The 20199-nt window shown below is 42.9% G+C and overlaps 1 protein-coding gene and 1 pseudogene across 1 annotated transcript in view, besides 1 other annotated feature; both read left to right on the top strand.

Moving 5' to 3' along the window:
- The first annotated feature begins 4395 nt into the window (after positions 1 to 4395).
- The window catches only part of ERMP1 (endoplasmic reticulum metallopeptidase 1), an 82520-nt gene continuing 66716 nt past the window's right edge, over positions 4396 to 20199 (top strand). Inside the window, exons 1-2 of the mRNA XM_017015139.3 lie at positions 4396 to 4436; positions 11876 to 12019. Coding sequence (XP_016870628.1) covers positions 4429 to 4436; positions 11876 to 12019 — 152 coding nt within the window. The 5' untranslated portion in view covers positions 4396 to 4428. The remainder of the gene's footprint in view (positions 4437 to 11875; positions 12020 to 20199) is intronic.
- On the top strand, positions 14877 to 15898 carry AK4P4 (adenylate kinase 4 pseudogene 4; annotated as a pseudogene).
- Positions 17606 to 17655: a silencer, noted in NCBI's record as "silent region_19757". NCBI's record gives its function as "represses an Ori minimal core promoter by ATAC-STARR-seq in GM12878 lymphoblastoid cells {active_cell/tissue: GM12878}" and the evidence as "EXISTENCE:reporter gene assay evidence [ECO:0000049][PMID:35858748]".

Genomic DNA, 20199 nt, shown 5'->3' with positions numbered 1-20199 from the left:
CAGGCGTGAGCCACTACACCCAGCCTATTCTTTTTTTTTTTTTGAGACACAGTCTTGCTCTATTGCCCAGGCTGGAGCGCAATGGCATGATCTTGGGCTCACTGCAACCTCTGCCTCCCAAGTTCAAGCAATTCTCCTGCCTCAGCCTCCCAAGTAGCTGGGATTATAGGCACCCACCATCATGCCCGGCTGATTTTTGTATTTTTAGTAGAGATGGGGTTTCACCTTGTTGACCGGCTTGTCTCAAACTCCTGACCTCAGATGGTCCACTCGCCTCAGCCTCCCAAAGTGCTGGGATTACAGGTGTGAGCCACCACGCCTGGCCTCACCTTATTCTTGATTCTGATTATTCTTTATGTGTAACCATGGATAAGCCTTTTCTTCTCCCTGGGTCTCAATTCCTTTATTTGTAAGGTGGGTAGATCTGGTGGAAAGGGTTGAAATCTATGGTCTCCAAGGGTCCGTCCAGCTCTAATATTCTTTGATTCAATCATGCAACTATACAACAACCACACAGGGTTTGACGTTTCAGCTAATACCAGTCTGTGGCTACTGGTGTGAGCCTGTCACATGCCCTCCTGGCCCACTGCCAATCACAGCATGTTGTTGCTTAGAGAGGTCATGGTAGGCAGTCCTTGCAATGAAGTGTTCATCCATGTTTGGCCAGTCTTCAAAGAAATACCAACCCCTGAGAAAGCAGAAAGCCTACAACCTGAACGCTAATGCCTGTGCTCAAGAAGGAAACTTCAGTGGCAACAAAAAGCACAGCAAAACAGGGTCCCAGTGAAGCTCTTCTGAATTCAACAACGTTTGAAAGTACTCCATTCCCCTAGCAACTTTTTTTACTTAAAAAAAAGCAGGAGCTGTTTTTTAAAATGATATAAGAACATTATATCGAAGAAAGCAATACGATATTTTGTCAAATAGCAGTGGTATGATTGTGACTGTCATGTCTGATCAACTGATTCTAAGGAGAACTCTATCCTGTGCAGAATGCTGGCATGCTACTTAAAGCTGATTGAGAGGATGACATGCCCAGGACTGGCAAGAGCCCCCTGGTTTGGACTTCTCGCTTGATCCCAAAATATTCCATTTTTAACAGAGCAATTTGGCAATGTGTCTCAAAAGCCCTAAACATGTTCTTCTGTTCTGGATAGTGATGAAGAGTTGGACAGATATTTGGCTAGGACTCCCAGCCTTCTTCTACCACAGGTACAGGAGAAAGATGTGCACTAGGGACACTCTAGGCATCAGCACAGCATTTGTTATTGACTCGTTTTGGCCCCACATCTCTGTGTGAAAGCTTCAGGTTGTTGAGCTGGGCTGCACCTTATGGAAGCCCACAGTGCTAATTGTATACCTCTGAGCAACCCTCTACTGGCTGCCTTCACCCTTGTCCCCAAGGTCCATACTTGAATCTCTTTGTCCTAGAGGACTCACCAACCTGAAAGCAGGAAGAAACGGAGAGACAATCTAAAAGAATGTTCCTCCCTCAGGCCTCGAGCAAAACCAGAACAAAGGCTCCCACGCCCAGACTTTTCCACAGCATGGGCAGGTAGCGCCCCTAGTGGGAGGCAGCAGCCCCAAGTCCATCTTGCCACCTCATCTTCTTAGAAAACAACATCCAAAAGGCCATGAGCCTTCCCTTTCTCCAGGAACTAGTATCTCCTTTTTCTGAGAGCACTGTCCTGCCCCAACTCCTTGAGGTCAAAGTGGAAGTTTCATATTCTTTGAGAACCTGCCCTCCCATGGGGTTATTTGGTTGGTCCAGGGCCAGCTGTATCCTGCCCTTCCCATGGTTTGGTCAAATGCCCTTCTTTTGATTACAGAAGATATTTCAGGATTCTTCCAATTGACTCTCCCTTTTGCTACAGTCATTTGAGACAGGTTTCTAAGATGGCAGGTCAGGAGGCTAGAGAACAGAATCCCCAAAAGTGGGAAGCTAGAGAGAGAGGCCCCCATGTGGACACTAGCATTTCCAACCTACCATCACTGACACCCTCACCTTTTACCACCATGTCCTGAGAATGATTTTGCATCTGTTCCATTAACTTCACTCCTTCTCCTCCTCATTCCCAAGGGGCCCTGAAAGGGGAGCTTTAAGTCCTTCCTAAGGGCAGAAGCAAAACCTCAGTAGCCAGTCCATGTCAGGATTTCAACCTCAGGACATAATCAGAGGTGTGCACACATATTGAAGTACAAGTGATCTAGGGCTGCATTCCTGTAGCTGTAAAAACAATTGAAAATAACCTAATAATATTTCAAAGAATTATGGTCCATCCATCCAACAGAATGCTTTGCAGCTGTTAAAAATATTTTTAAGGAATATTTAATGACATGGAAAAATGCTTATAATATACCAAAAGCAGGCCAGGAACAGTGGCTCACCCTTGTAATTCCAGCACTTTGGGAGGCCAAGGCAGGAGGAGTGCTTGCGCCCAGGAGTTCAAGATCAGCCTGGGTAAGATAGTGAGATCCTAGCTCTACAAAAAATTTCAAAAATTAGCTAAGCATGATGGCACACACCTGTTATCTCTGCTACTCAGGAGGCTGAGGTGGGAGGATTGCTGAAGCCCAGGAGGTCAAGGCAGTGAATCATGATCGTACCGCTGCACTCCAGGCTTGCTGTCAGAGTGAGACCCTGTCTCAAGAATAAATAAATAATAAATAAAAGAAATAATATACCAAATTCAGAATATACAATTTAATGTACTTTATAACCTAAATTGTGTCAAGTTATATATTATATACACATAAACAGCCAAAAAGAACCACATAAAAATGATAATTCTACTTTCTTCATTACGTTTTCTATGTTTTCTAATTGTTTATGATTAGCATGGTTTACTGCGGTATTTATTTGGTATTATGTTTTGGCATAATATTTTATATTAAGTAATGAATGATATTGAAAAGATCAGAACCTTATTAGAGCATGTCTTCCTATGGAAAAATCAGATTTCCTTCTCTGCTGTTTGCGCTTAGCCTTTACCAGAGGGTCATGTGACCAGCAGTAACTGTGAGGCCCGGTTTTCTGCCACGATATTCCCTCCAGAGTACGTGCTCTCGGGTTGTCTGAATCCCTGGAATGCTGGGCCAGTTGCCTCAGCGGGGGCTGCCGTTCTAACCCCCAGGGCAGGGTTGTTTCTTTAGCTGGCTGGTGGCTTTTGGTACCAAACAAGTAACTTTCCTTTCCCGTGAACTTGTCTGCAGTCCCAAACGACTTAGGGTAACTCTGCTGACCCTGTTACCTGCTTTATTCCAGCTTTTGTTCCAGCTAAGGTGGGGAGCCTATAGATTCCTGGGGTCCCACAGAGGTGACATAGCAATGAGAGAGCTGGTGATGTCTCATATTCATGACACAACTTTGCCTGGATTCACAAGTGTGGCTACATAGGGAGCACAGAGACCAAGGGTTGAGGAGCCAAGGTTCTTGGCCTCCCTCCTGCCATCTGACTATCTGAGCTTGAACAAGCCTTTCTGAAGCTCTCTGCCACCTGTCTACAAGTGTAAACTGTGATCCAGGGAAACAATATCTCAGATACCTTTTCTGACCTAAATTGTCTCTCCTATTCATTCCATAGTGTGTGCCTAATAATAAGAGCAAACCCCTGCCACATGCCAGATGCAGTTCTAAACACTTCATACAAATGGACTCCTTTAATCTTCAAAACAAGACTGAGAGGTTGGTACTGTTATCATCATCATCATCATCATCATCATTCCTTTTTCATCAGATGAGGAAACTTAGGCAAAGGGGGACTCAGTAACACGGCCAGGTGCCACAGCCGGGATGTGGAGAGACAGGGATTCCAACCCAGCTGAACTGGCTCTGAAATCTAGACCATGAACCACTCTGCTCCACTGCCTCTCAGTCATGTGAATTTCAGCTCACCCTGTCTTTATTTCAAACTTGGCCAGAGGTGGTCAGTCAGCCACAGTGACACGCTGGCAAAACTGCAAAGTGAGTGATGCCCACCTCCCCTATCCTCTAGCTGCTCAAGGTCGGCCTTTGGGGTCACTGCTGTATAATTCTACTTCTTCCCAACCATGCAAGGATGGCAGAGGCCTCCCCCTGCCTCCTAGACCTACTAAGACAAGGCAATGGCTGTGGGCTTCCCCACCCTCTTGGCCCCATCTTCTGAAGAAGAAATAAGAAAGTACTGTTTTCCTGGTTTTTCAGAAAATAAGAAATATAATACTCATTTAATGAGCATACTCTGCACATGTTATACATACAAATTAACTCATTTGGTTTTCAAACAAGACCCCCCCACTCCCCCGTTTTTCCAAGACAGAGTCTTGCTCTGTTGCCCAGGCTGGAGCGTAGTGGTGTAATCATGGCCTACTGCAGCCTTGACCTCCTCGGCTCAAGTGATCCTCCTGTGTCAGCCTGCCAAGTAGCCAGGACTATAGGTGTGCGCCAGCATGCTCAGGTAATTTTTAAATTTTCTTGTAGAGATGGGGTCTCACCATGTTGCTCAAACTCCTGGGTTCAAGCAATCCTTCTGCCTCAGCCTCCCAAAGTGCTGGGATTATAGGCATGAGCCACTGTGCCTGGCCTCAAACAACCCATTCTTATTACCAGTCCCATTTTACAGATGAGGCCAATGAGGCTCAGGGAGCTTGTGTAACTTGCCTGAGGGCTCACGAATAGAAAAGGAACAGGAAGCACAGCACTAATATACATACCTTGCTCTTTGCCCATCCCCACCCTCTCTTCCCACAGCTGGGTCATCATCTGACCCTCTCATCGCCACTCAGATTTTTGAAAAAACTTTTATAATACTATTAATTCAAATCAAGTACTTTGGGTTTGAAGACCTTCTGTTCAAATTTGATTACAGGTTTCCTTAGTTTCCCATGCCTCCAGTTCTATGAAATTACAAGTTCATCTGTTCTTGACCTAAATCAGTCTTTTGGAGTGGTTGAGAGGGAGGTGAGATAATCTGTGTACAAGTGATTTCAAAAGCATCAAGTGAGCTACCAATTCTGGGCTGTTTGTCATAGTCTGCATATTAATAGCATTCTCGCACAGCCCCCAGGCTGTGTGGAGGAGCAGCTCTGTTTGTATATATCCAAACAGTAGGATCCAACAATCCTCTGCCTACTTATCCTCTCCCCACTATTGTTGGATCCTATGGTTTGGGTATGTTGTTTGGATAATATTGGTTCTGTTCCCCGAAACAGAAGAAATATTATCCAAACAATATATCCTGTTCGATCTAGAAATCAAAGAGGTAACTAGTAATAGTTCTACAAACAATATAGTCCCAACACCAATGGAAACTGGTGTAAGAGAGGGGCTCATCTGCAATTTACCCCCCAAAATGGAAGTGTATTATGTGTAATAGCACACCTACGTGTTTAAAATCTGCTTTTATTCATTTATATTCTACCGTACAACAATCACATAATGATAAAGTGTTCACAATTATTTGATTAAAAAATTATTATTAAAAGTAACACACTTACTGCCAAAAACTTGGAAAATGCAAAAAGAATGAGGAAGAAAATTTAAATTACTATTAATGTCAGAACCCAGATATAAACCCTGCTAACTTTTAGCTGTATTTTCTTCTGAACTCATTTTATATATTTTTTATTTATTTATTTACTTATATTATCATTTTTTTTTTTTTTTTTTTTGAGACAGAGCCTCACTCTGTTGCCCGGGCTGGAGTACAGTGGCACGATCTTGGCTCACTGCAACCTCCTCCTCCCAGTTTCCAGCGATTCTCATGCCTCAGCCTCCCGAGTAGCTGGGATTACAGGCGTGCACCACCACGCCCAGCTAATTTTTGTATTTTAGTAGAGACCAGGTTTTAGTAGAGACCTGTTGGCCAGGCTGGTCTCAAACTCCTGACCTCAGGTGATCCGCTTGCCTCGGCCTGCGAAAGTGTTGGGATTACAGGCGTGAGCCACTGCGCCCGGCCTGCATATAAATTATTATTATTATTATTATTATTATTATTTTTTGAGATGGAGTCTTGCTCTGTCGCCCAGGCTGGAGCACAGTGGCGCGATCTCGGCTCACTGCAAGCTCCGCCTCCCGGGCTCACGCCATTCTCCTGCCTCAGCCTCCCAAGTAGCTGGGACTACAGGCGCCTGCCACCGCGCTCAGCTAATTTTTTTGTATTGTTAGTAGAGACGGGGTTTCACCGTGTTAATCCAGGATGGTCTCTATCTCCTGACCTCGTGATCCACCCGCCTTGGCCTCCCAAAGTGCTGGGATTACAGGCGTAAGCCACTGCGCCCAGCCTACATATAAATTTTAAAGTATGATTGGGCATAATTTTTTATATATACATATGTATATGTATAAATTTTTCATTTATTTTATATAAAGGAACATTTTCCTATGTCCTGATGATCATTTTTAATGATTGTGTAATTTTTAATCTAGCAATTGTACCATAATTTACTACCGCATTTCTAAATGTTTGGCCAATTGTGTTGCAAAAAACATCTTCATAAATACAGGATTTTTCCTTCAGTGATTTTTTTTTCCATGAAACAACTCTCCAAAGAAATATTGTTGAGTCACAAGTTAGGATCTCATGTTATATCTGAAGCAGCCTGTTATCTTGCAGAAAAGGTGTTAGTTCATTTATTTTAATATCATGCCACCACACTGGAACTCACCATCCACACACATTAGGCACCAATAGTTGCAAAGAACTCTGCAAGACACCTCCTAACTAAAGTTCAGAATGGAGCCTCAGGGAATACAGGGGTTAATGCTGAAATACAAGCCTCCTGTCCAGTGATCAGCCTCTTCTTCTCCAGGCCTGCCTACATCCTGGTAAGGAAGGTGCCAGAATTCTTGCGGATCTGGAAAAGCTGGCTTCTTCCACCTGCCCCAAACATCTCTACCACCCCCTGAGGAAAGCCTGTCATTTTGACAGCTTTGTTCCCTTCACTTGAGGCTTTTAGAAGGGTCAAATACCCGCTCGCCCCCCTCCCCACGGGGGTGAGGTTAAATAGCCTGGGAAGGATAGCTCAACAAAAGTGCTATTAATTACTTCTACTCTAGTATAAATGAGCTTTCAGTTCTTCCTTGACAGTGGGTTTTGCAGGGTGAGTGGGGGTACTGGAATCTCATCTGGGAGGATGGGTTCTTGGTGAGGAGTCTTGCCTGCTTAATGATGTTTCTCCAGGTTGGCCCTTTCCCTTACTGAGTAAACAGTGGCTTGCACTGATAGGGAGACTAGAGGAACAGAACACTCCTCACCCAGAGATCCTATTTCCTTTTGAAAATGGCCTCAAGCAACAAGTCTATGAGGAAAATGTTCAACTTCATTGATCAATGAAATGTAAATTAAAACCACATTCAGCTACCAATTTCCAACAGTCAAATTGACATGCTACTTCATGACTAGTGAAAATGTGCAATTCTGGAGGGCAGTTTGGCCATATCTATCATAAGCTTTTTTAAAATGGGCATAGACAACAGAAATGTATTTTACAAGGATGTCCAGTATGGTGATGTTTATAGAAGTAAAAAATTGGAAATGATCTAAATACCTAATAAAAGATTTCAAATAAAGTACAGTAGATCTATACTACTGAACTATTATTCAGTCACTAAAAATGATATAGGTAAATATTTATTGACACCAGAAAATGCCCATACTGTATTATTATGTGAAAGAAGCCAGTTATAAAATAGAATGTTCCCATTTTTGTTAATTATAATAATAAAAGATACACATATGTCTGCTAAGTTTTGATGATGAATACATGTAGCTTCTGTAATAGGAAATTGTCTTTTAAAATTATTTTTTGAAGGCTCCAAGAAGCTCCACCCAGCTTCCCAAGGGCAGGCAAGCTTTTGACCTTCCCTCTGATCCTTACATAGTATATCAACAGTAACGCTTGTTGATATGTAACTGCACCCAGACAGGGAAGGAGGACCTGTGCCAGCCCCAAACAAGGTCATCTGAGGACTCTGCCCTCTCCCCAGCTGGACACACCCTCATTATTGTCACCACTGGGTAGGGCAGGCTTTGCCCTCTGGTTCTTATCATTTTCATTTTCTTACCTCAGTAAAACAACAGTAGCCTTGATGCAAGGAGTAATGGGAAACTGTCTTTCCTATGGTTTAGACATAAGAATGTTGTGGTGATGGAAAGGGAGTCCTTGGGATATGCCAAATCCCAGGTTCTGGCATCGTCTACTTTAAAGTCATTGGCAACATTGCAGAAACTCCTGCTTTGAAAGTATTGCCTTTAAACTCTGTTGCAAAGTACAAAGGCACTGAAGCTGCCCATCATTGGAAATGTAACATTTCTAACATTACATGTCTAATGAGGCCTTTAAACTGGCAGTACTAGCCTAAGATAGCAGGGTCTTTGTCCTTTCCCTATGAAGACAGGGTTTCTTGCTGCTGTAATTATTGGATACTAGGGGTATTTCCATTGCCCCAGGAGCTGGGTTTCCAAACTCAAAGCAAAAATGGGCTCAAAAGAAACTTTCTCTGAATTTTTGCACTACCACAAACAGATGTTTTAGTCTCTTCCTCTTGCACATAAATCTCTGTCTGCTCCATTAACACTGCCTCATTTAAGGGAGACCATTGGATTCTGGCTTTCTTATTGCATTTTATTGGATTGTCACACAGTCTTGGTTGGGGCTCCTGGGACAAGTCCATTTATAGGACCTGAGAACCAACCCATGGCCCCAACAAGTAGACACTCCTTTGGAATGAGAACTCACCTTGGTGATCAGTTGTGGGCCTTAAGGATTAAGCCGGTTAATCAAGGATGACCCTTGATGATAATACAAGGGTTTTGGTTTAGGCACCAATGTTATGTATAAAATGAAGAAATGTGATTTTTAGCCTGACACAGTGGCTCATGCCTGTAATCCCAGCATGTTAAGAGGCTTAGGCAAAAGGACAGCCTGAGGCCAGGACTTTAAGACCAGCCTTGGCAACACAGAGACTCCATCTCTACAAAAAATAAAAAGTACAAAAAATTAAAAAATTAGCTGGGCATGGTGGCACACACTTGTAGTCCTAGCTACTTGGGAGGCTGAGGTGAGAGGATCTCTTGAATCCAGGAGTTCGAGGCTGCAATAAGCTATGATTGCACCACTGCACTCCAGTGTGGATGACAGAGTGAGACTCTGTCTCTAAAATAAATAAATAAGTAGGTCAGGCATGGTGGCTCATGTCTGTAATCCCAGCACTTTGAGAGGCTGAGGCAGGAGGATCACCTGAGGCCAGGAGTTCAAGACCAGCCTGGACAACATAGGGGGATCCCATCTCTACAAAAATAATTTAAAAATTAACCAGGCATGGTGGCACACACCTGTGGTCCCAGCTACTTGGGAGGCTGAGGTGGGAGGATCACTTGGGCCCAGGAGGTAGAGGCCGCAGTGAGCCATGATTGTGTCACTGCGCTCCAGCTGGGGTGACAGAAGGAGACCCTGTCTCAATAAATAAATACATACATACATACATACTTTTTTTAAAAAAAAAATTAAAATGTGATTTTTTAAAAAACTTTAACTTTTAAAGGACTAGTGGTTGGATTGTGTCTAGAGGGACAGCCCCTGATTATCTGACCACTTTTGGTAACAGGAGGGACTACACTCAACTGGCCCCATGAAAAGAGAAGGGCCAGGAGCCATCTCCCCAGGGTGGCCTGGAGAAACAGAATGAGCAGTCCCCCTCCCCTGATGTTGCTGTTGCACCTGCTGAGATCCTTTGACCTTGGACTATTCTTTTTCTGGGCAGACCAAAAAAAAAAAAAAAAAAAAAAAACCCTTCCTCTCTTCTCTGGGGTCAACACTAGAGCTCTGCCTGCACTGGGAAGAGAGTGGAGCCCTAGGGCCCCTTACTGGCTTAGTACTTTCCATCTCCGTCTCTTGCCAGGTTTCCAGAGGCCCTGTCTTGTGCATCTAAGTCTACAGTTAACTGTCCACTTCTTAGTGAGAAAGGAATCTGCTTTTAGTGCCATCTGTAAAAGAAGACAAATAGGTCTTTAATCAAGATTGACACACATGGCTCCTGCTTTCTCCTTGTTAAAGGTGGTACTGAATACCTCAATAAAATAGTAAAAAAAAACCCAGCAAGTATGATTTTGAAAACTCAACCCTGTACCTTGAGTAGAAAGAGTGTAGAATATATTTCCTTAAATCTTACTTTTTTTTCACCCAAATTCAGCACAGCTAAGGCCAATGATGACATCCTGGGATAATACTTTGAGTTATTAACTGATTTTTTTTCCCTCTCCAGTACTTTACTTTTTCTTAGCTTTTACACACACACACACACACACACACACACACACACACACACACACACACACCCCCTAAGCCATTGTGGGTTCACTGCCTCTCAGAAATGCAGAAACATTTTGACAGAGAGCATAGCTTCTTACTAGATCCCTGTCTCAGTCCATTTTGTGTGGCTATAACAGAATACCACAGACTGGGAAATTACAATGAACAGAAATGTATGGGCTCATAGTACTGGAGGCTGGAACTCCAATATCAAGGTGCTGGCATCTGGTGAGGGCCTTCTTGCTACATTATCACATGACAGAAGGAGAGAGAGTGAGAGAGGGTGGAGGTGGGACAGTGAAATGACCCTTTTATAGGGAACCAGCCACCATAGTAATCCATTATCATGATTACTGGGAGACTGAGGCAGGAAGATCACTTGAGACCAGGAGTTTGAGACCAGCCTGGGCAACACAGGGAGACTGTCTCTACAGTTTTTTTTTAATGAGGCCAGATATGGTTGCTTATGCCTGTAATCCCAGCACTTTGGGATGCTGAGGCAGGAGGATTGCTTGAGGCCAGGAGTTCGAGGCCAGCCTGGGCAACAGAGTGAGACCCCCCGATCTCTACAAAAAAAAAAAAAATTGTGGACTGAAGTTGATAAAATTGTCCTTGCAACTTTCATGGCCACTAGAGAGAGAACATGTAGTATGTCACTTGCCATTGGTTACGTTATGAGCAATTGAGCCCATACGTTATGGCTCTGAGCTTCATTCATTTACTCACTTATCCATCCATATTTATATTAATGTACAGCTGGCCAGACACTGGAGACATAAAGATGAATGGAACAGAGCTCCTGCCCTCACTGTGCTTGCTGGCAGTAAACTTCATCCCTAAAATACTGACAGTGCATTTATCCCAGTTATAAATATAAATGCTTCCTTCCTTCTTTTTTTTTTTTTTGGAAACAGGGTCTGGCTGCAGACAGTGGCACAATTACAGCTTACTGCAACCTCTATTTCCTGGGCTCAAGCAATCCTCCTGACTCAGCCTCCCAAGTAGCTGGGACTACAGGTATGCACTACCACACCTGGCTAATTAAAACTTTTTTTTTTTTTTGGTAGAGACAAGGTCTCACTATACTGCCCCGGCTGGTCTCAAACTGGGCTCAAGCAATCCTCCAGTCTTAGCCTCTCAAAGTGCTGAAATTATAGACATAAGCCACTGTGCCTGACCAATGCTTTCTTAATAAACTTAAGTTGAGCTTATTTAGCATGTAAGAATTCTTTATTAAGATATTAAAAATTCTGGTACTAAGACCTGTGTAATACAGGGGTGTGGTTTTTTCAAAGTATATCTAAGGCTGTGTTTAAATTTAGTAAATCTAAATACTTAGTAATGATACACTTGAATGTAGCTATGTAGCCTGGCACAGTGCCTGAGGAATAGCAGTCACTCAGTAAATTATAGTACGTCTCTGTAGTAAGCATCAACTATGTGCCAGGCCTTACTTGTAAGGGAATTAACATAATTCCTCATTAAGGTGAGAAACAACTTAAGGCTTTGAAATAGTTATGGGTAAGTTGGGATAGCAAATACCAAGCACATGTGCCTCTATTTTCCTTTTTCTCACCCATGACAGGCATTGTCAACTGATCACAGGTCTTTCTCATTCCCTGAACTTCGCCTCGGAACTTCTCTCCGTAAAAGATGTTGCCCACTTGCCATTTCTAGGCCAGGAGGAAGAGATTGGAACTCTGGAGAGTCTTTCTTGTTTTGTCTCAGGGTAAGGCTGCATGATTTTCAGATTAGTTATTAAATTCCTCAGAGCCTGTGTTTACTTATCTGAAACTATGGATCATAACTTTACCTAATTATCCTATATGGTTCTTGTAAGGTTTAAATGTTATGAGGGTTGGGGAAGTGCTTTGAAAGGTTAAAAGAACAAGTCACTCCCAAGAGAGTAGCAAGAGCTCCCTTTGCCAAAGTGTCTTTGCCAAGGAGAGTATTCCATTAAGTCCTGTTTAGAACAGAGAAGATCCCGTTTCAGAAGGACTTCCTGCTAAATAATTAGGAAAAGGAAAAGAAAAGAGGAAGCAAATGGAAAAGGAACACAGAGAGAGGACATGACTTGGAGTCAGAGGCATTAGAGTCAAGTCTAAATTCACCTCTTGCTAGCCGTGATGTTTGGAATAGGTTACTAAGCTACCATGCATTACATGGAGCAAACAATAGTCACCTCTCAAGGTTCTTGCAAGTATGAAATTAGTTCATGTCTGCGAGAGGGACTAGGGCAGAGCCAGGCATATAGGGACTTGGTGAACTCCCAGCCTCAGTGAGGGGAAGGAACCACTGCTTGAAGCCTGCCTGGTCCCACACAGTATAGAGAATTAGGTTATGCTATGTTCCCATCCATCCATCATCCATCCATCCTTCCAGCTTCTATGGAGCATGACTACTTGACGTTGAACTGGGAGAGTGTGTGCATTGTTGTTGAACATTTCTCTGACCTCAGAACCACCATGAAGGAAAAGGGGGCCATGCATGATGTGATTTGAGTAGTACCCCAGGATCCCACTTGCCCCACACTTTTACCTTAAGCTTTTGAGTCTCTCTTTGGAGAACTTCTCTTTACCACTCTGACTCTTGTGCTCCGGAGGAGGAGGTGGGCCTCCCTGGGCACTTAAGGGCAGCTATAGGCTAGCAGAATGCATGCCACTGAGTGGAGGTGTGCAGGACACTGTGTGCAGCACAGAGGCTGGGGAGGGATGATAGGAACCCCTGTCTTTGAGAAAGTTATTACAGTGAGCCAGGAGCTCTGGAATATTTTGTCTGGCTCTTGTTTGCATGCCCAAGTCTTGCTTGTCCTCGTAGGGTCTGTTCAACATGGTCTTACCCTCCTGTGAGCTCATGCAGTGCTTTAACCTGTCCCTCTCTTTGGAACTTCTCAGCACTGGGACTAGTAATATAATCATATTTTTGCAAATACTTGCCTTCATCTCTCATCATTTTTACTTCCCCAATCTGGGTTCCAGGCACTGACTCAGAGCCCTTCAAACCATACTCTTTCTTGCCTCCAGAAAGCTCTTGCTGACTATTCTGTGGCCATGCTCACTGCCCTACTTGTTCCCCTGATGAGTGAATGCTCCTATGAGAGCACTAACCTTCCTTCAATGAGGTCTTTCAACCACTTCCCTTTCTTCTGCTCTGGTCTGTAAGTTATGCCAGGACAAAGATTTGTCTTGGGACCTGCCACATCCTGGGCACCTGAAAAAGAGTCTGGAATATAGGAGGTGCTCAAATATGTGTCAGTTGACTATCAGCTCTTCTTTCTGGACTGTGAGCCCTTAGAGAATGGGGTCGACATCTTCTAATATTTTTAAGCCTCTACTAGACACCTCACAGAACATAGCTTATTGCTAGGTGCTTAGTAAACACTTGATGAACAAAAGAATGAGTGAATGAATGTCTTATAAAATAGGCAGATCCCTAGGGATCCCAGTCAAGGCTACAGATAACGTGGGATGATATGCTGAATATTTTCTAGATCCCCTGCAGATCCACTGTCCACCCTTGCTTACCCTGTTTGGTACTCAGGAAGTTGACCTTTATAAGATGGTATTGACAGGTTATTCTGACCTCTGGTTGGGTTCAGTCAATGGGATGTACCAATAGATTATAAGTAGGGAGAAGAGTGAAGTCTAGGTATAGTAGATGCTCATCATTTGCAGATTCTATATTTGCAAATTCGTCTACTCACTAAAATCTATTTGTAATCCCCAAATCAATTTTCATGGCACTTTTGTGGTCATTGAGACACACGCAGAGTTGTAAAAATTTTGAGTTGCTGGATGTGCACGTGCCCAGCCGAGGCAAACAAAGTGACACAGACTCTGCCTTCTTATTTCAGCTCTCATATTGAAAAAAATTTCGGCCATGCACAGTGGCTCATGCCTGTAATCCCAGCACTTTGGGAGGCCAAGGCAGGAGGATCCCTTGAGCTCAGGGGTTTGAGACCAGCCTGGGCAACACAGCAAAACCCCATCTCTACAAAAAATACAAAAATTAGCCAGGCATGATTGCACAGGTCTGTAGTCCCGGCTACTTGGGAGTCTGAGGTGGGAGGATGGCTTGAGCCCAGGGAAATCAAGGCTGCAATGAGCTATAATTGTGCCACTGCACTCCAGCTTGGGTGACAGAGTAAGACCCTGTCTCCAAATGAAAAAAAAGAAAAAAAAGTCATGGTCCATTTAATGTCATGTTTTCCACATGGTTTTCATTGATGATTTCAATGTTTAAAATGGCCCCCAAGACTGGTCATAAAGTTACTGAAGTGTCCTTAAGCCCAAGAAGGCTGTAATGTGCCTTGCAAAGAAAATTCCATGTATACGTTTTGTTCAGGCATGAGTTACAGTGCTGTTGGGCGTGAGTTCAAAATTAGTGAATCAACAATATATATTAAATAAAGTGTCCCCAAATCAGAAACACACATAAAACAAGGTTATGTATTGATTGGTGAAAATGTGACCAGAGACTCGCCAGACCTGACCCTGTATTTCCTTTAGGAGCAATGGTTCAGTATTTGCTAATTCAGTGTTTGCTGTGACTTTATGGAATGTGACTACTGGCACAGGGCTGAGTTAGTCCCCGCACAGGGCTAAGGGGAGGGGTTGTCTTAAAAGTCTCTCCTTCCCTGAGTAGGAGAGTAACCAGAGTACCAGAGCCAGCAGAGAGGGTGCCAGAGGTTGGGGCCAAGAAACAAAGTTCTTGGTGCTCCCTCTGGTCGTCTTGGCTGCGCCTTTGGCCACCCCACTCCTCCCAAAGGCAATGGCTTCCAAACTCCTGCACATGGTCATCCTCCGGCCGCTCCTCTTGGCCCAGAAGTTTGGCCTCCAGCATCTCTCCAATGGCCATTTCTTGCGGGAGAACACCAAGGCCAACACCGAAGTTACTGACATGGCAAAACAATAAACAGAGAACAGTCTTTCGGTTCCAGACCATGTGATCACACACCTAATGGTGTCAGAGTTGGAGAACAGGTATGCCCAGCACTGGCTCCCAGATGGTTTTCTGAGGACTTTAGGACAAACCAATGCCCTGATTTGAAGACAAAATATATGAAGTGGATTTAGTGATCTGTTTGAAGATTCCATTCGAAACACTTAAAGATTGTCTCAGCCGACGTTGGATTCACCCTCCTTGCAGCAGGGTATATAACCTGGGCTTCAATCCACCTGGTGTACATGGGATTGATGACATCTCTGGAGAACCATTAGTCCAGCAGGAAGATGATAAATCGAAGCAGTTGCTGCCAGGATAAGACAGTACAAGGTTGTGGCAAAGCCAGTCATTTAATTATGCAAGAGCCCAGGCTTGCTCCACCATTTTTCTGGGATGGAGACTGATAAAATCTGGCCCTAAGTCTACATATTTTTCTTAACAAGATCACACCTATTCAGTCCAAAGAAGAATCAGGAAGATTCTTCACTTGTTCAATTGTGTGTGTAGTATTGGGGCTATGTCCAAATTAGAAGCTAGCTGAGATAGCTTGCAGCATCTTTCTAGCTTAAATGGTGAACTCTTAGGAAAACTAATGAGCAGAAAGAGCTCATGAAGTGTCCTTTAAAAAGAAGGGCCCCCTGCACATATTTAAGGTATCTCTGCACATGTCTCAATACCTCCACAAGAAAGCAACTCAGGCTGGATTTCAAACAGCATACAGTCTAAGCTCTAGGTGATTTTTGACAGTTGTGTTGTTGCTATAGTATCCTTTTTACAAGTGATGGTGGTGGTCTTTGGTTCTCCTCATCCCCTCAAAGGCTGTTGAATCACAGCACCAGTAAGCCTGAGAATGCTAAGGGCTCTAGCCCAGGCTTTCTCCCAGATTCTCTGGTATGTGCCCTCCTGGTGACAATGAAATTGGCTAATTGCTCTCAGTGGTCTGGAGTGACTATGTCCACAGTTCATCTTTCACAGTAGGAATCACTCCTTTTTTGCTTCATCCATACTCCATAGAGTCTCTCCTTTTCAGACATCCTAGGAGGAAAGGATTTAGCTTCTATTTTTTTAGACTATATATTTTTGACATCTGTTTTTTCTTAGGCTATTACATTTAAGTTATTAAATAATACAGATAATTACTGCTTTTATCTCTCTCAAATTTTTCTTTCTAAGAACTGAGAACAAGAAGATTGCTTTGAATCTCTTCATGCACTGGGAACTGAGCTATGAAAGAGGGTGTTATTAAACTGCTGGTCTGAACTCTCATGGATTGATGTTTCCCCTTTCTGTTACTGCGAAAAGATTCAACCCCTAAAAGTTTTTTGGCAACCCCCAAAGTCTTTTGGGAATCCTCAAAAAACATGGGAAATATTAACCTACATAAATGTTGAAAGATCCTGTCTTATGTATAGAAGTAATAAGACCAGGCCGGGTGTGGTGGCTCACACCTGTAATCCCAGCACTTTGGGAGGCTGAGGAGAGTGGATTACCTGAGGTCAGGAGTTCTAGACCAGCCTGGGCAACATGGCAAAACCCCATATCTACCAAAAATATGAAAGATTAGCCAGGCATGGTGACGCACGCCTGTAGTCCCAGCTACAGGCTGAGGCACAAGAATTACTTAAACCAGGAGGTGAAGGTTATAGTGAGTGGAGATCACACCACTGCACTCCAGCCTGGGCGACACAGTGAAACTGTGACTCAGAAAAAAGTATAAGACCATATGGAACTACTGACTAATAAATAGTTAAACTTTTTGTTCAAGACAGCAAAATGTATTTTGAAAATTCTGCTACCTCTTGATGCTGACAGTGTTTTTCTCCCGTGAGTGACCCAAGCATATTATAAATAATTGATAAAGGGAATGGAGCTGGTTGGGTGGAGCAAAAGGTTGCACTAGCTATGCCTAGACTGAATAGAAGAGTGTTATGATGATGAGAAAGCAAAATCTTTATTTTTTTTCTATTCCAAAGATTCACTCTGATTCAGCCTGACTAGTACTGACAGTTTATGGAAAATCTCAGCTGTTCTCTTTCTAGCACCTAGATACAGATATGAGCATGGCCCCTTCTCCTCCTCCAGATCCCCAGTAAAACTTCACCCACAGCAGCTTCTTTCTCCCCACTGGAGAAAGAGTGGGGAGCCCAAACCCCTTTCTTTTATCTAATCACCTGGCCACAATTTATCCCCCTTTGTTAAAATGATATATAAGCTCCAGGTCTAACTGCTTCTTTGGCTCTTCACTTCTTTTCTGTGAAGCCCCCATTTATGTAAAAATATTAACATCCATAAAATGAATGCCTTTTCCTCTGTTCATCTGTCTTTTGTCAGTTTAAAGCCTGTCTGGAAGACAGAGAGTCTCACCACCCTAGAGCAGTGCTACTCAGGGTGTCTCTGACCAGAAGCAAGGCTACATCTAGAGAGCGTGTTAGAATTGCAAATTACTGGGCATTCTAGATCTACTAAATCTGAAATTCTGTGGGCAAAGACCTGGGATCTGTTTTCATAAGCCTTCTGGGTGATTCTAACACATGCTCGAGTTTGAGTACCACTTCCTGGAGAGATGGGCAGGGGGTAGTGGGAGGGTAGGCACGGAGCACTTGTTTAGGACCCTTGCCAGGCTCTCTAACTCCCATCTGCCTGGCTTTCCATGATTTCCTGGTCCTTGTTTCTCCAGGCCAAACCACATTTAGGAACATACACAATCTGGAGTGCAGAATTCTTTGAACTTTATCTAGGTGGCTGTTTCTTAACCAACAGAGCATAGTTTCTTACAGGATATGTATGGCTCTTCTGGGAGATCAACACTGAAACCCCAGGGCATCTCTGAGCACAGCAACAGGACAAGAGAGAATTTAAGTGACATGGTGAAGGGGATCAGGTTATACCACCCCAAAGTATGCCACCTTGGCATATGATTATTTTGGGCTGAAAGCAATGGAGAAATAGCAGTTGTAAGAAGAGCTCTCTGCCCTTTCCTTTTCTGCCTAGAAGCAGGACATAAATTTCCCTTTGTGAAGGTGGCATAAATTTCCACCCTTCTCCTGTATCAGAATGAAGAAAGTAACCTATCACTAGAGACAGAAAACTGGCACTGAGATGAGTTGGCATAAAGACACCTTACTAAAGCAACCCTTGCTTTCCATTACTTTCCCTGTATACTTCCTAGTCACTTTCCTACAATTTTTCACCCCCAGAAGCCCAAACCCGTTTCCTTTGTCCATAAAATAGATGCTTTTTCCCCTGTTAATCTGTCTTTTGCCAGTTTAATTCTCAGGCCCCAGACACTGAACCTAAGAGGGCAGAGGAAAAGGTTTTTGCTGGTTTGTTTGTTTTCTCCCCTGTAGTGAAAAGAACTAACAGGTGAGATGACCCTGTAGTCAGGAAAGGATTTTTATCTCATTTACAAAAACATGTTTCAGTGTGATGAATTGAATCCTATCAGTTGCTGTTATTAATTTTTCTATATCTTCCCTGATTTCAAAAAGCATGTTTGAGGCAGCTTATTAAAATACATACAAGGTTAAAAAAATAGATAGCTATCCTTAGGATTTGCAAGGTGTTCACTTAAAACATTCTTTTTTTTTTTTTTTAATGAACATTCTCATAAAACATTCTTAAAATGGTTGGCTTCTTTGCTGATATGGCAGTAACCAAAGATTCCAGTATTTGAGCACATAAAAAATTCTGCTGCTATGGTGGGGTACAGTGGTTCACACCTGTAATCCCAGCACTTTCAAAGGCTGAGGCAGCTGGATTACTTGAGCCCAGGAGTTCGAGACCAGCCTGGGCAACATGGCAAAAGACCATCTCTACAAAATATACAAAAATTAGCTGGTGGCAATGCCTGTAGTCCCAGCTATGAGGGAGGCTGAGGAGGGAGGTCACCTGAGCGTGGGAAGGTCAAGGCTGCAGTGAGCCTTGATCATGCCATTTCACTCCAGCTACATGACAGAATGAGACGCTGTCTGGAAAAAAAAAACAAAAAAACAAAAAAAAACACTCTGCTGCTTACCTGTGCCAGAAATAACAACATCTAAAGTGAATACTTAAGAAAAACTTAATGACTGCTTGATTACCCTTAAGATTCTGCATTCTTTATAATGTTCTTTGCATTTCAAAAGCAGCCTATTTATTGCAGAAATTTACTTAACCTTTTGCTTTACTTGAGCATGTATGTATGTTGCTTAGATAAAAGTAATGACATAAACGTCTATATAATCTTAGATTTCATTTTTACTTTGAAATGGGAGCTTTTTTATTTATAAGGTCATGAAAAACTAAGTGTTTTTATTAAGAAATGAGATTTTTTAATGGCAGAAAAAATGACTTGTTGACTCATTATGAAATCAAAATCTCTCCAAGCTTTTAAAAAACTACTTCAAGCCATTCGTTAAGTAATATTCCTTTGTAAATCATCTTAGATTTAGTATTATAGTGTTTTCTCAATTTTTATGTGTGTTAAAATCAATTTTGTGGGGTGTATGTGTGTGAAGGGGAAAGGTGACTCACAGTCACAGTACCTAGTTTTGCAACTTTCAGGCCTTGGTTTTGTAGCTCCAGCTGCCACAGACTTAACAGCTAGACTGATTCTGAGTAAGAACAAAAGGGTTTGACCATAGAAGGAAGTTCCTTTAAGATCCTTGTGAAATGGTTATAATAAGCAGGTTGACTCTTGCCCCTTGGAGAGCACCACCCTGTGTAAGGCTGATATGATCACGAACCCTCCCTCGCCTCCTCCCACTTCTATATATTATCTGTGTGCATGTGTTTCTTCTCTCCATCTTTCTTGCATGCTCTTTTCTTTTTCTCTGTCTGACCCAAGAGAAAGAGAAATGTATTGATGAAAAGTCTTTAAATAGTGTAATTAATTCATTTATAGCATGTCAGAATAAATCAAAAAAGGACATTTCTCTGTAAAAAATAGGTAAACAGAAACAAATGAAAGAAAAGCTATGACAGGAA

Source organism: Homo sapiens, chromosome 9, assembly GCF_000001405.40.
Source record: "Homo sapiens chromosome 9, GRCh38.p14 Primary Assembly".
NCBI classification, from domain to species: Eukaryota; Metazoa; Chordata; class Mammalia; order Primates; family Hominidae; genus Homo; species Homo sapiens.
The sequence above is the reverse complement of the archived record's forward strand: the minus strand, read 5'-3'. Positions and strand labels throughout refer to the sequence as shown.